Source organism: Homo sapiens, chromosome 1 (genome assembly GCF_000001405.40).
Source record: "Homo sapiens chromosome 1, GRCh38.p14 Primary Assembly".
Taxonomy (NCBI): Eukaryota; Metazoa; Chordata; class Mammalia; order Primates; family Hominidae; genus Homo; species Homo sapiens.
In genome coordinates this window covers 27,354,831-27,368,405 of record NC_000001.11, presented here as the reverse complement: position 1 = coordinate 27,368,405, position 13,575 = coordinate 27,354,831, and the positions used below count along the sequence as shown (strand labels likewise).

At 59.9% G+C, this 13,575-nt stretch overlaps 1 protein-coding gene across 6 annotated transcripts, besides 10 other annotated features; it reads left to right on the top strand.

The window, feature by feature from the left end:
- Nucleotides 579-1,520: an enhancer, noted in NCBI's record as "H3K27ac-H3K4me1 hESC enhancer chr1:27693377-27694318 (GRCh37/hg19 assembly coordinates)". NCBI's record gives its function as "activates a minimal SCP1, AML or CMV promoter by ChIP-STARR-seq in primed H9 embryonic stem cells {active_cell/tissue: H9 hESC(primed)}" and the evidence as "EXISTENCE:reporter gene assay evidence [ECO:0000049][PMID:30033119]".
- Nucleotides 1,445-13,222, top strand: MAP3K6 (mitogen-activated protein kinase kinase kinase 6). Of its 6 annotated transcripts, XM_047433689.1 has the most exons (30): nt 1,445-2,148; nt 3,494-3,510; nt 3,604-3,633; nt 3,722-3,745; nt 4,012-4,202; nt 4,321-4,489; nt 4,858-4,964; nt 5,385-5,555; nt 5,653-5,765; nt 6,156-6,315; nt 6,539-6,701; nt 6,779-6,886; nt 7,011-7,060; nt 7,154-7,249; nt 7,398-7,485; nt 7,568-7,701; nt 8,038-8,165; nt 8,412-8,548; nt 8,884-8,989; nt 9,540-9,697; nt 9,795-9,987; nt 10,087-10,225; nt 10,530-10,695; nt 10,830-11,006; nt 11,292-11,397; nt 11,657-11,816; nt 11,906-12,018; nt 12,307-12,380; nt 12,661-12,737; nt 12,937-13,222. In XM_047433689.1, the coding sequence occupies exons 1-30, from the start codon at nt 1,809-1,811 to the stop codon at nt 13,013-13,015; spliced, it is 3,774 nt and encodes a 1,257-aa protein (XP_047289645.1). In that variant the 5' UTR covers nt 1,445-1,808; the 3' UTR covers nt 13,016-13,222. The 6 variants fall into 6 exon arrangements, with proteins under 6 accessions (XP_047289645.1, NP_004663.3, NP_001284538.1 ...); NM_004672.5 differs by having other exon boundaries at nt 3,494-3,633; NM_001297609.2 differs by lacking the exon at nt 3,722-3,745 and having other exon boundaries at nt 3,494-3,633.
- Nucleotides 1,521-2,464: an enhancer, noted in NCBI's record as "H3K27ac-H3K4me1 hESC enhancer chr1:27692433-27693376 (GRCh37/hg19 assembly coordinates)". NCBI's record gives its function as "activates a minimal SCP1, AML or CMV promoter by ChIP-STARR-seq in naive H9 embryonic stem cells {active_cell/tissue: H9 hESC(naive)}" and the evidence as "EXISTENCE:reporter gene assay evidence [ECO:0000049][PMID:30033119]".
- Nucleotides 1,717-1,826: a silencer, noted in NCBI's record as "silent region_514". NCBI's record gives its function as "represses an Ori minimal core promoter by ATAC-STARR-seq in GM12878 lymphoblastoid cells {active_cell/tissue: GM12878}" and the evidence as "EXISTENCE:reporter gene assay evidence [ECO:0000049][PMID:35858748]".
- Nucleotides 1,857-2,076: a silencer, noted in NCBI's record as "silent region_513". NCBI's record gives its function as "represses an Ori minimal core promoter by ATAC-STARR-seq in GM12878 lymphoblastoid cells {active_cell/tissue: GM12878}" and the evidence as "EXISTENCE:reporter gene assay evidence [ECO:0000049][PMID:35858748]".
- Nucleotides 2,147-2,196: a silencer, noted in NCBI's record as "silent region_512". NCBI's record gives its function as "represses an Ori minimal core promoter by ATAC-STARR-seq in GM12878 lymphoblastoid cells {active_cell/tissue: GM12878}" and the evidence as "EXISTENCE:reporter gene assay evidence [ECO:0000049][PMID:35858748]".
- Nucleotides 2,787-2,856: a silencer, noted in NCBI's record as "silent region_511". NCBI's record gives its function as "represses an Ori minimal core promoter by ATAC-STARR-seq in GM12878 lymphoblastoid cells {active_cell/tissue: GM12878}" and the evidence as "EXISTENCE:reporter gene assay evidence [ECO:0000049][PMID:35858748]".
- Nucleotides 7,497-7,566: a silencer, noted in NCBI's record as "silent region_510". NCBI's record gives its function as "represses an Ori minimal core promoter by ATAC-STARR-seq in GM12878 lymphoblastoid cells {active_cell/tissue: GM12878}" and the evidence as "EXISTENCE:reporter gene assay evidence [ECO:0000049][PMID:35858748]".
- Nucleotides 7,657-7,786: an enhancer, noted in NCBI's record as "active region_546". NCBI's record gives its function as "activates an Ori minimal core promoter by ATAC-STARR-seq in GM12878 lymphoblastoid cells {active_cell/tissue: GM12878}" and the evidence as "EXISTENCE:reporter gene assay evidence [ECO:0000049][PMID:35858748]".
- Nucleotides 7,881-8,416: an enhancer, noted in NCBI's record as "H3K4me1 hESC enhancer chr1:27686481-27687016 (GRCh37/hg19 assembly coordinates)". NCBI's record gives its function as "activates a minimal SCP1, AML or CMV promoter by ChIP-STARR-seq in naive H9 embryonic stem cells {active_cell/tissue: H9 hESC(naive)}" and the evidence as "EXISTENCE:reporter gene assay evidence [ECO:0000049][PMID:30033119]".
- Nucleotides 8,417-8,952: an enhancer, noted in NCBI's record as "H3K4me1 hESC enhancer chr1:27685945-27686480 (GRCh37/hg19 assembly coordinates)". NCBI's record gives its function as "activates a minimal SCP1, AML or CMV promoter by ChIP-STARR-seq in naive H9 embryonic stem cells {active_cell/tissue: H9 hESC(naive)}" and the evidence as "EXISTENCE:reporter gene assay evidence [ECO:0000049][PMID:30033119]".

Sequence of the window (13,575 nt, the reverse complement as noted above, 5' to 3'; positions counted from 1 at the left end):
TGACAATTTCCCGAGGCCCTCTGGGTCCTGCAAGTGGATGGCTTTGTGGCAGGAATTGCACAATTGCATAGCTTTTTTTTTTTTTGAGATGGAGTCTTGCTCTGTCGCCCCGCCCAGGCTGGAGTGCAATGGCACGATCTCCACTCACCGCAACCTCCATCTCCCAGGTTCAAGTGATTCTCCTGCCTCAGCTCCCAAGTAGCTGGGATCACAGGCAGGTGCCACCACACCCAGCTACTTTTTTTTGTATTTTTAGTAGAGACGGGGTTTCACCATGTTGGCCAGGCTGGTCTCGAACTCCTGACCTCGTGATCCACTCATCTTGGCCTCCCAAAGTGGGATTACAGGCATGAGCCACCGCCCTGGCTGGGAATTGCACAGCTTTCTCAGCCTGTCGGTTGCCCATGCCTGTCCTTTGTAAGTTGTCTGTTTTCCACTCCAGCCTCTGTTGCAGGCCAAGTTCTCAAACTCTACCACTTCCTGCCTATCTCATTGGGTGTCAGTTCGAATCCAAGGTCAAACCAAGGAAGGTACCTTTTTCTTCCACAAGGCAACAGGGCAATGAAACAGCCATTGAGTAGCATTTAAGCAGTTTATTTGCCCAAAGCCACATTCTAGTAAGTGGCAGAATTAAATAGTTAAGAGTCTGACAGGCGGTCCTGGGTTTGCACCCTGCTGTCATGTGCTGAGTGATCCTGGACAAGTTATTCAACTTAAGTCCCCAGTTCTTGGTTTCAGGGTCCACTGAGGCTTCTACCAGGTTGCTGCCTCACTCATTAATTCACACAAGAAAGTTGGGGACTCTTGGGGATTTGAAGCTGAGAAGCTGCTGTAGTGCAAAGGGCTGGGGTTGACTCCTTCAAGGGGTGGCTAAAGAAATGTTTAGAGTTGTTTAGAGTAGGAAGTGCTTCTCAGGTCCCATGGCCACGTTCTGCCTAGAAGTCAAAGGTCAGCGGGGGTCCACAGCAGGTTGGGTCCTGGGGAAAGCAGCCCCCTAGTGACAGTTAAGGCTCAGATGCCAAGTCCCACTCCAGGACTGAAGGCTTTCGGGCAAGCGGCCTAGGGTGTAGGTTTCCCCCATCCCAGTCCCTCCCTGCCTGCGCTCACTGGGCCCGGGAGGACACCCATTGTTCATCATGCTCTGCGCACCCTGATGTCTCTAGAGAGCCATTCATTCAACAGATACCTGCAGAGCAGGGCCTGCATATCGAACCTTTTCCCTAGCCCTGGCCTCCTCACACATTTTATGTGCACTTGCTGTGAGCAGTCCACAGTCTTTGGCGTGCACAGGGGCACAGGCTGTTCCGGAAGCCGCCAGTCTCCAAAGTTCTGGCGGGAGAGAAGGGAGGGGAGAGGCTGAGTCTCAAGCCGCTAGGGAGCGGCTCTGCCCCAGGGCCGAGGGTGGAGCTTTCTGGGTCGGCCGGGAAAGGGCTGGGCTTAGCCTACAAGTGAAGGCAGGGCAGCGTTGGCGGGCGCTCCCTTGAGAAGTCCAGGTGGCGGGCACCTCCGAGCCGATTCCCAGGATCCCCCAAGTGGCTCTGAGCTGCCGATCACCGGATGCCCCAGATTCCTGGGACCCAATCCCGGATTTCAGAACCTCAGGACCTTGCAAGTCCGAGCTAGGATTTCTCCCTGGACTTTAGATTCCTGGAACGGGACGTCAGGCCGTATTCCGGATCCCTAGATCCCGTGGGAGATTCTCCGATTCCGAACGGATTCCAGATCCCAAGATTCCTGATCTGCCGGCCCAGGCTCCTGCCCCGCCCCCGGTTCCCAGTGCGCGGCGCCCCGCGCCTGAGCGCCCCCGCATGGCGGGGCCGTGTCCCCGGTCCGGGGCGGAGCGCGCCGGCAGCTGCTGGCAGGACCCGCTGGCCGTGGCGCTGAGCCGGGGCCGGCAGCTCGCGGCGCCCCCGGGCCGGGGCTGCGCGCGGAGCCGGCCGCTCAGCGTGGTCTACGTGCTGACCCGGGAGCCGCAGCCCGGGCTCGAGCCTCGGGAGGGAACCGAGGCGGAGCCGCTGCCCCTGCGCTGCCTGCGCGAGGCTTGCGCGCAGGTCCCCCGGCCGCGGCCGCCCCCGCAGCTGCGCAGCCTGCCCTTCGGGACGCTGGAGCTAGGCGACACCGCGGCTCTGGATGCCTTCTACAACGCGGGTGAGAGCGCTGGGGGCGGGGCCGGATCCGGGCGGGACTCAGGGTCCTGGGAGGGGACCAAGCCGGGCTCGAAGGCTCAAGGGAGGGGCCGAGAGGGGTACCGGGTCTAGGGGACTTAAAGTGAGCTAAAGCTGAAGGGCTTGGGACAGGGCCGTGAAAAAAGTGGGATTTAGGGGATCTGGGGCGCGGCCGGGCTCGGGACGAGACAGGGATCCGGGCGCGGCTCTAGGGCTCGAGGTTGGGGCTTAGGCACCCTTCAGTCGGAGCGGTGCCCAGCCAGCGGGGCAAGGATGGGGAGGGGCTTTGGAACTCTGGGGCGGGGCGGGGAGCGGCGCGGGGCTGTGGTGTCTCAGGGGTGGGGTTGGAGAACTCAGCCTCACCCTCAGGAGAATGTCACGCGGATCTCTTGAGGACAATTACTGGGAGAGGAGCTTGGACTTAGGGAAAGGGGCCGGGAGGCTGGAGTTCAGGAGTCCTAGCATACTATTTCCAAGGATCGGGCTAGGAGAGGCAAAAAGAGAAGCGAAGGGGCCCGACGGGACTGGATACTGGGTGAGGGAGCTTAGGTTAAGTGGCCTCAGCGGCCCAGAAAGAATGGGCGGGGAAGGGGCGGGGAAGTGGGCGGGAAAGGATGGCTCAGGGGCGGGGCCAGAAGGAGGCTATTCCCCCGCGAGTCACTCCTCCCTCCAGCCAGCCCGGATGCTCGGCCCCCATACTTACTTGCTTATGCTAGAGTCCAGTAGCTGTGCTTCCTGGATGTCCATGAAATCGTAGCCTAAAATGAAGGCTGACCCGACCACTCGGACACAAAGATACAATTATCGACAGACACAAATCGCATACATGTTGACTCATGCAGGCCCTAGCAGACGCTGTCACACACACAGATACAGTCAGACATAGTAAGCTATACATGTCACAGATATACACATACATACATTTAGGCACAGCGTTGTCTATGCACACTGATGGTAGCCCCTTTCAAGAGCCTGTGCTGAAGACCAAAGGGAGGGGACTTCTATGTTTGCGCAACTCCCACCTCCTAAATGGCCCGTAACAGACTCAACTGGTCCACAGCCTCCCTTCCCCCATGCCAGGTGCTCACAGGCTCTGAACCGTGGCCTGAGGGTCCCAACCCAGTGAGCCCAACTCCTCTCCTGCAACACTACAGAGATCAGTTCTGTGAAAGTGCCAGGGGAACCCTAAAAAGGGCCGACTGAAGCCCAAAGCAGAACCAGACCCTACTGGAGTCCCACAGCAAGGCAGGTCAAGCCAGGATGGACCCCGGCTCCTTCCCCATCAAGCTGGGCTTCAGGGATCAGCGCCACCCCCTCTGTGCCTGCAGATGTGGTGGTGCTGGAGGTGAGCAGCTCGCTGGTACAGCCCTCCCTGTTCTACCACCTTGGTGTGCGTGAGAGCTTCAGCATGACCAACAATGTGCTCCTCTGCTCCCAGGCCGACCTCCCTGACCTGCAGGCCCTGCGGGTAGGTGGCCTGGGGCTGGTGGAGGCAGGCACAGGGCTGGGGTAAGGCCTACACAGAACACCAGTATCTGACTGTCTGCCTCCTGCAGGAGGATGTTTTCCAGAAGAACTCGGTGAGCAGAATCCACCTCTCACTCAAAAGTGCCCTTTGACTTCCGCTATGACCTCTGACCTCCACTAATCCCCCTGGCCTCCTCAGTCACCTAACCCCCCACTGACATCCCAAGTATTCCTCTGTTTCCTGTTGCCTCCTCTCATGACGGGTGCCCCTTTCCTGCGATTCCAATTCCCACTGATGCTGACCTTTGATGCTCTCACTCCCCTTGTCTAGCCCTGTGCTGACCTCTGACCTCACTGATTCCTGCCTCCCTCCCACCAGGATTGCGTTGGCAGCTACACACTGATCCCCTATGTGGTGACGGCCACTGGTCGGGTGCTGTGTGGTGATGCAGGCCTTCTGCGGGGCCTGGCTGATGGGCTGGTACAGGCTGGAGTGGGGACCGAGGCCCTGCTCACTCCCCTGGTGGGCCGGCTTGCCCGCCTGCTGGAGGCCACACCCACAGACTCTTGGTAATGAAGGCCCCCAGGGAGGGTGCTCCAGGAGGGGGCTGGTGAGGGTATGGTGGGCTGGGGCTGAGGTACAGGCCCCACCATTCTCTCTCCCTGCCTCCCCTACCCTGGGCATCAGTGGCTATTTCCGGGAGACCATTCGGCGGGACATCCGGCAGGCGCGGGAGCGGTTCAGTGGGCCACAGCTGCGGCAGGAGCTGGCTCGCCTGCAGCGGAGACTGGACAGCGTGGAGCTGCTGAGCCCCGACATCATCATGAACTTGCTGCTCTCCTACCGCGATGTGCAGGTGCGTGGTGTTCAGAGAGGCAGTAGGGCAGCTGGCATTTGAGGTCAGACAAACCCAAGTTCAGTTCCTGGCTGGGCCACTTGCTCACTGGTGGCTTTGGGCAAATTATCCAATGTCTCTGAGTGTTGGCCTCCTTATTTGTTAGAGAGGATGAGCATGTCGCTGCCTCCTGGGGCAGTTGTGGGGTTGGGAACGCCCAGCATGGGGCATACAGTAGGTTCTCCCTGTGAGGTGTGTCCGCTGGGCCTGAGGGAGGCGTGCAGAAGATGGTGGCTGGGTGGGATGTCAGGAGTGGGACAGGACCCTGGCTCAAGGTTCCTTGGGGCCTGGAGGCCCATGATGCCAGTGCTTGCCGTTCCCTGATGCAGGACTACTCGGCCATCATTGAGCTGGTGGAGACGCTGCAGGCCTTGCCCACCTGTGATGTGGCCGAGCAGCATAATGTCTGCTTCCACTACACTTTTGCCCTCAACCGGTGAGTGGCAGAGCAAGGGTTAGGTCATAGCCACATAAAGGTTTCCGAAACCTAGGTCTCTGCGTGCAAAGCCATTGCTGTCTGGGATCACTGCTGTTCGGGGAATTTGCTGACCGGGGTCACTGATGTCAATAGGTCCCTGTTGTTCTGAGTTACTGCTGCCTGGGTCGGGGTGGGGGAGGTGGTGCTGCCTGTGGTATGGTCACCGCTGTCCAAGATCACTGCTCCTAAGAGTCATCGCATCTAGGAATCACTTCCATCTGAGGTCACTAGAGAGGTCAGTGCTGGCCAGGGTCATTATCATTTTGAGGTCATTATTGTCAGGCCCCTGGAAGGGTCCCTGCTGGTTCAGTGTCTAGAGGTCCCTGGACAGAGTAGGCCAGGGCCATCAGGGAGGGCCTGAGCCCATCTTTTCCCTAGGAGGAACAGGCCTGGGGACCGGGCGAAGGCCCTGTCTGTGCTGCTGCCGCTGGTACAGCTTGAGGGCTCTGTGGCGCCCGATCTGTACTGCATGTGTGGCCGTATCTACAAGGACATGTTCTTCAGCTCGGGTTTCCAGGATGCTGGGCACCGGGAGCAGGCCTATCACTGGTAAAGAGCACAGTGAGTGGCCGGTGGGCTAAGCTGTGAGATGAGGGGTGGTGCTGTGGGCATCAGTCCAGCCCTGTGCCCCCTACCCCCACCCCAGGTATCGCAAGGCTTTTGACGTAGAGCCCAGCCTTCACTCAGGCATCAATGCAGCTGTGCTCCTCATTGCTGCCGGGCAGCACTTTGAGGATTCCAAAGAGCTCCGGCTAATAGGTGAGCACAGATCCTGGCTCTTGTCTCGTCACCCACAGGGGTTCCGAGGGGCCTGGGAAGAGGGCAGGGAGAGAGCACACTGGGCAAGAGCTAGGATGAGCTCATCCATTTTGGACTGTCCTGCCCATACCCACACCTGGGTCCTCATACCTGTTCTGGGCCCTCAGGAGCCCTCAAACCCACAAATGTTCCCAAACTCACATCTGCGTGTCCATTACATCCTGAATTCCACATATACCTGTGCCTGAGCTCCTGTTCCCACCCGAGATCTTGCCATACTCAATGCCATACTCATATCTATGTTCATGTCCACACTCGGGCCCACAGAAATGGTGGGCCTCACTCACCCCTGCACCCACACTCACTGGAGCCCATGCCTCTCTCCCCCAGGCATGAAGCTGGGCTGCCTGCTGGCCCGCAAAGGCTGCGTGGAGAAGATGCAGTATTACTGGGATGTGGGTTTCTACCTGGGAGCCCAGATCCTCGCCAATGACCCCACCCAGGTGGTGCTGGCTGCAGAGCAGCTGTATAAGCTCAATGCCCCCATATGGTAGGTGGCCCCCTCTGCATTCTTGGCCTGACCTGGGCTGTCAGCTCCTGCACCTATGTCCATTGGCATGCTAGACTGAACCCTGAGCCAATGACCTGGCTGCTTTTAGACCAGTGCCCGTGGCACCCCATGCCAACGTTCTAGCTATATCCAGGCCAGTTTCCTCTCCCTGGCAGTGCTGGTTGGTGCCTGGGCTGAACTGAGGATGTGGCTTTGCATGCAGGTACCTGGTGTCCGTGATGGAGACCTTCCTGCTCTACCAGCACTTCAGGCCCACGCCAGAGCCCCCTGGAGGGCCACCACGCCGTGCCCACTTCTGGCTCCACTTCTTGCTACAGTCCTGCCAACCATTCAAGACAGCCTGTGCCCAGGGCGACCAGTGCTTGGTGAGGCCTGTAGGGGTGGTGGACCCGGGAAAGGGGTAAGCCCCTTCTGACTGACCCCACTCCCCAACTGCCTGCAGGTGCTGGTCCTGGAGATGAACAAGGTGCTGCTGCCTGCAAAGCTCGAGGTTCGGGGTACTGACCCAGTAAGCACAGTGACCCTGAGCCTGCTGGAGCCTGAGACCCAGGTGAAGTCGCTGCTGAGGCCCCTCACTCACCTTTGCTAGGACCTTTTCTGTGGAGCCTTTCTCCCATCCTCAGACCCCTCTCCTGTCACCAGCACTCCCCATCACACCCCATTTCTTCTTGCAGGACATTCCCTCCAGCTGGACCTTCCCAGTCGCCTCCATATGCGGAGTCAGGTGATAGGCGGGACCTGGGGTGACTGGAAAGACGGGAGGTGAGGGTCGCTGCCACCCAGCCTGACGCTTACTGGGTTCTTCATCCCTTCCCAGCGCCTCAAAGCGCGACGAGCGCTGCTGCTTCCTCTATGCACTCCCCCCGGCTCAGGACGTCCAGCTGTGCTTCCCCAGCGTAGGGCACTGCCAGTGGTGCGCAGCCTTTCATGGTCGGGGTACTCTGAGGGCCAGGATGCCCGGGGGGGAGTGGGGGAAAGAAAGGGACGACGTCCGTTGGATGCTCCGGCTTAGGTGGGGACCAAGATGCCCCTCCCGCGGGTCTGACCTCCCCCACCTTCAGGTTCTGCGGCCTGATCCAGGCCTGGGTGACGAACCCGGATTCCACGGCGCCCGCGGAGGAGGCGGAGGGCGCGGGGGAGATGTTGGAGGTGAGGACGCGGGACTGGGAGCTCGCGGAGGGCGAGGGGCCGCGGGCCCTGCTGAACTCCCATCTCACCCCGCGCCCGGCAGTTTGATTATGAGTACACGGAGACGGGCGAGCGGCTGGTGCTGGGCAAGGGCACGTATGGGGTGGTGTACGCGGGCCGCGATCGCCACACGAGGGTGCGCATCGCCATCAAGGAGATCCCGGAGCGGGACAGCAGGTGCGGTGCGTGGCAGCGCGGGTGGGGCTGAGGGCTCGCGAGGGCCGAGTGAGCCGGGCCACGAGCGGAGCGGCTCCTGTGGGCGGGGCCTAGTGGGCGGGCTCGTAGGACCTGAGAGTTCGAGCCCTGTGGACTGGGCCCGTGGGCGGAACAGCCAGGACCGTGCGGGCGGGATTGAGGTCTGGAGGGTCCTGTGGGCAGGGTAGTAAGGGTGGGGAAGGTCGGAGAGGGCTTGTGGGCGGGGCGGGTCCTTGGGGCGGGGCCAGGCTGGCGTGGGATGGGCGGGGCTTCTCTGCCCACCTCGGTCCCTTTCCTCTCTCCCTTACCTCCCCTCAGGTTCTCTCAGCCCCTGCATGAAGAGATCGCTCTTCACAGACGCCTGCGCCACAAGAACATAGTGCGCTATCTGGGCTCAGCTAGCCAGGGCGGCTACCTTAAGATCTTCATGGAGGAAGTGCCTGGAGGTACCTGCCCTGTGTGGGATGGGAATGAAACCGAGGTGTGAAGCATGGGACCGAGGCAGGCAGGGGTAGAGAGCCCTAGGGGGAAATGCACCCTAGTGCGTGTGGGTGGTGTAGCCTAGAATTAGCTGAGGAGTGGCGCTGGGTGATGGAGTTGGGCTACAACATGGGTGTGTCTGGGCCTTGAGCAGAGAGATGTGGGCTGGAGCCAGTGGGTGGGAAGAATGAACTTGGACTGTCCCCACCCAGGCAGCCTGTCCTCCTTGCTGCGGTCGGTGTGGGGACCCCTGAAGGACAACGAGAGCACCATCAGTTTCTACACCCGCCAGATCCTGCAGGGACTTGGCTACTTGCACGACAACCACATCGTGCACAGGGACATAAAAGTAAGCCCTGGGGCTGGCCCGCCCTCATCTGCTGAGGGTGGCGGGGAAGGAAACATGGTCCCAGACGCAGGCTGGCAGTTTAGATTAAGTGAGCAGACCTGTTGCAAAGGGTAGGGAATTCATCAGGGAGGCTCCTTAGAGAAGGAGGGGAAAGGTTCAGCTCTGAAGCCAAACCAATTGTCAGCTCCCAGAGGGGCATATAAGTGGGATGGCAAGGGGAGAGTGTTGACAGAGGCAGGACCAGGCTGGGATCTCCAGGAGATGGGATCCCAGAAAGAGGGTCTACTTCTGCTGGCAGGGGCCCAGACCAGTGTCCACTAATGGCTGTCAATCAGGGGGACAATGTGCTGATCAACACCTTCAGTGGGCTGCTCAAGATTTCTGACTTCGGCACCTCCAAGCGGCTGGCAGGCATCACACCTTGCACTGAGACCTTCACAGGTAACAAGGTGTGGGGGTGGTGAGTGGGGATGCTGACCTGGGGCAGAAGATCTCTTGGAACTTTCCAGGGAAGGGGGTTTCTCCTAGGCATGGAGTTAGAGTCCTAATGGGGAATGAAACCCAGGGTGAGTGATTGGGCCAGGGCTGAGGTGGTGGCATCTGGAACTGGAGCTTGGAGAAGTGATGAAATTGACTTTAGCACTTGAGGAGTGTTGATGCAGGCCAAGGTGGGAGTTGGAGGAAAAAGCAGGTGATGGAGTTCAGGGGGACGAGGCAATCCAGGATGTGTGCTGGAGCACTACTGTGGGTGATGGAGTCTGTGAATGTGGTGGAGCCCAGGATGAATGACGGAAGCCTTGGCAGGCGATGGAGCCCAGGGTGGTGATGGAACTCAGGATAGATGTTTGATGACCAGGATAGGTGTTGAGGTATATTTTGGATGATAGGTTCAGTATGGGTGCAGTCGGCCTGAGGATGACGGCATTCCCCTCCCTGCTCCAACCCCATGATGAAGCCTAGATGGGCATTGGTGCTCCTGTTTCTGTCCTAGGAACTCTGCAGTATATGGCCCCAGAAATCATTGACCAGGGCCCACGCGGGTATGGGAAAGCAGCTGACATCTGGTCACTGGGCTGCACTGTCATTGAGATGGCCACAGGTCGCCCCCCCTTCCACGAGCTCGGGAGCCCACAGGCTGCCATGTTTCAGGTGAGACCTCTTTGGGCCTGGCCCATGGAAGTGGCATAGGGCCAGCCTGGGCCTTGGACACCTCTGAATGTCACCCTTGTTCACCCTCCCCCCACAGGTGGGTATGTACAAGGTCCATCCGCCAATGCCCAGCTCTCTGTCGGCCGAGGCCCAAGCCTTTCTCCTCCGAACTTTTGAGCCAGACCCCCGCCTCCGAGCCAGCGCCCAGACACTGCTGGGGGACCCCTTCCTGCAGCCTGGGAAAAGGAGCCGCAGCCCCAGCTCCCCACGACATGCTCCACGGCCCTCAGGTGCTTGCGGGTGGCGGGATGGGCACAGTGGAGGGCAGAGGAGTTGTGGAGCTGTGAGGGTGGAGGAGAGCCCAGCTGATGGCTCTGTCCCTCCCTCAGATGCCCCTTCTGCCAGTCCCACTCCTTCAGCCAACTCAACCACCCAGTCTCAGACATTCCCGTGCCCTCAGGCACCCTCTCAGCACCCACCCAGCCCCCCGAAGCGCTGCCTCAGTTATGGGGGCACCAGCCAGCTCCGGTGAGACCAAGGCTCCTGGGATGGGTTCCTTTTGCCTGGTTTTGCCTTTTTCTCCTCTCCTACAAAAGCCCTCCCTGGGGACCTGGGCACCTTGACCACTTGTGAATGTGGCATTTGGTGCCTCCCCATGCCCTGTTCTGGCAACTCTAACTTGGACTTGTTGTGTCCTCTCAGTGCGGGGTTTATCTATGTTCATGCCTGTGAGGTAGGCATAAAAGTAGGAGAGCCAGGATTCAAACCCGGCAACAGAGGTGACTGGCCGGTTGCTGCCCGTCCTCAATCAGCAGCTCGCCCTTGTGCCCAGGGTGCCCGAGGAGCCTGCGGCCGAGGAGCCTGCGTCTCCGGAGGAGAGTTCGGGGCTGAGCCTGCTGCACCAGGAGAGCAAGCGTCGGGCCATGCTGGCCGCAGTATTGGAGCAGGAGCTGCCAGCGCTGGCGGAGAATCTGCACCAGGAGCAGAAGCAAGAGCAGGTGGGCGGCCCACTCTAGCGCCCCCTGGTGGTCGCAAAGGGTCAGGACACCTGTTGATGTCCCCGCCCCCTACCTCCGCGGCAGCGTCTCTTTTGGCTGGAGCACTCGCTGACAACCCCTCTCTTCCTTCTCAGGGGGCCCGTCTGGGCAGAAACCATGTGGAAGAGCTGCTGCGCTGCCTCGGGGCACACATCCACACTCCCAACCGCCGGCAGCTCGCCCAGGAGCTGCGGGCGCTGCAAGGACGGCTGAGGGCCCAGGGCCTTGGGCCTGCGCTTCTGCACAGACCGCTGTTTGCCTTCCCGGATGCGGTGAGGGCGCCTTCTGGTAGTTAGAGCTGCCCAACAACAGGTAGTGAGTTCCCCGTGCCTGGTGAGGTGCCAGGACTTGACGTTCCCAGATTCCCTGTCTCCTCTGTGAAGATCAGGCCTGCAGCAAAAAACCGTCTGCCCAGTCCTAGCTTCCCAGGCCTTCCCTGGACCTCAAGCCCGCCCACCCCACTCGCCTCCCGCCGAAGACTTTCTAGGCCTTTCCAACTCAAGCCCTGCCTCTAGTTGAGGCTCAGCTGTCTCAGCGGCGCCTCCCTCCCCCTGCAGGTGAAGCAGATCCTCCGCAAGCGCCAGATCCGTCCACACTGGATGTTCGTTCTGGACTCACTGCTCAGCCGTGCTGTGCGGGCAGCCCTGGGTGTGCTAGGACCGGGTAGGAGGGGAATGCCACGGGCCTCCTGCCAGCGAGGGTGTGGTGCTTGCTGGGCGCGGTGAACATCGAATGGGGCCGGTGGGGGCCAGGCGGGACAGGGGCAGGCAGGCGCCGGTGGGGGCGTGACTAAATGGACATCTCCCATACCGGCACCGCCTGGGGCCTGCCCAGAGCCGGGCACCCTACCCCCGCACTTTGGGGTCTGGGGTTCCCAAACGGGCGTTGTAGCCTTGCCTGAGTTCACCGCACTGGGCTGCAGAGGTGGAGAAGGAGGCGGTCTCACCGAGGTCAGAGGAGCTGAGTAATGAAGGGGACTCCCAGCAGAGCCCAGGCCAGCAGAGCCCGCTTCCGGTGGAGCCCGAGCAGGGCCCCGCTCCTCTGATGGTGCAGCTGAGCCTCTTGAGGGCAGAGACTGATCGGTAAAGCCCCTTGGAATCGCTCATAGCCTCTGCCGGGCTTCAACCCACTCACCACTCACCGCTCCATTCTACTCTTCTGCGCCCCACAGGCTGCGCGAAATCCTGGCGGGGAAGGAACGGGAGTACCAGGCCCTGGTGCAGCGGGCTCTACAGCGGCTGAATGAGGAAGCCCGGACCTATGTCCTGGCCCCAGAGCCTCCAAGTGAGTGGGCCTTGGCTGGAGAACATTATTGGTGGGTTCAAGGCAGCTTCTAGCACAAGGCACCCTTGGGCTCATCACCTGACTTGGGCTCATCACCTGAGCGGGCCTTGGCGGGAGAACATTATTGGTGGGTTCGAGGCAGCTTCTAGCACAAGGCACCCTTGGGCTCATCACCTGACTTGGGCTCATCACCTGAGTGGGCCTTGGCTGGAGAACACTATTGGTGGGTTCGAGGCAGCTTCTAGCAGGAGGCACTCTTGGGCTCATCACCTGACTGCTTCTTGACAGCTGCTCTTTCAACGGACCAGGGCCTGGTGCAGTGGCTACAGGAACTGAATGTGGATTCAGGCACCATCCAAATGGTGAGTCGGGGAGTGCTTGGCTATCCCTGACCTCACCAGCCAAAGCCTCCATCTCTGTCCATCTTCCTGCTCTTCTACTGTGCCCTCTGATGCAGAGAATCTCACTACCAGAAGAACACTTAGTATTCTCGTCCCATTGTATGGATGAGAAAACTGAGGCCCAGAAGGGTGTGATCTGCCTCATTATTTTGGCAACAGAGCAGAGCTAGTACCTGGGTCTCGACACATCTTTCTGTAATTTCTTATTTCCCTCTTTCTGCGGGTCTTTGACCACATCCAGCTGTTGAACCATAGCTTCACCCTCCACACTCTGCTCACCTATGCCACTCGAGATGACCTCATCTACACCCGCATCAGGTACATCCTGGGCCCCCCAAGTGTGAACCATGCATATGGCCTCATCCTGGCCAACTGCAGGCCTGCCTAGGTTCCTTCCTGGAAACCAAAGGGGCACCTGGGTCCCCTAGGGACAGAGGGGGCACTGGGCAGACAGTGTGTGCAAGATAGAGTCCAGGGCCACCTTCTGGCTGAGCCACACTGAGTCCATTACCCCCAGGGGAGGGATGGTATGCCGCATCTGGAGGGCCATCTTGGCACAGCGAGCAGGATCCACACCAGTCACCTCTGGACCCTGAGAGCTGAATGAGGGCATCATAGGCCAGACAGGCCCAAGGATGGATGAATGGAGAGGACAAAGGCAGCTTCTGACACACCAGCCCCAGGACCTGGGGCGACTGGAGGAAGCCAGGCGAGTGGGGCCCAGGACTGGTTCCAGTGAGAGAAACCAACCACAGGCACCCAAGCACTACCAGACAAAGCGTATTAAACAGAACACTTTTGAACCTTTGTCCTGGCAATTTTGGAGGTGTATGGTGGGAGGGGTATCCTGGGAAGAGCCCCCTAGGTCTTTTTTAAAAAATTTTTTTTGTTGGCCGGGCATGGTGGCTCATGCCTGTAATCCCAGCACTTTGGGAGGCCAAGGTGGGCAGATCACGAGGTCAGGAGATCAAGACTATCCTGGCTAACATGCTGAAACCCTGTCTCTACTAAAAATACAAAAAAATTAGCTGGGTGTGCTGGCGGGCACCTGTAGTCCCAGCTACTCGGGAGGCTGAGGCAGGAGAATGGTGTGAACCTGCGAGGCGGAGCTTGCAGTGAGCCGAGATTGCGCCACTGCACTCCAGCCTGGGCAACA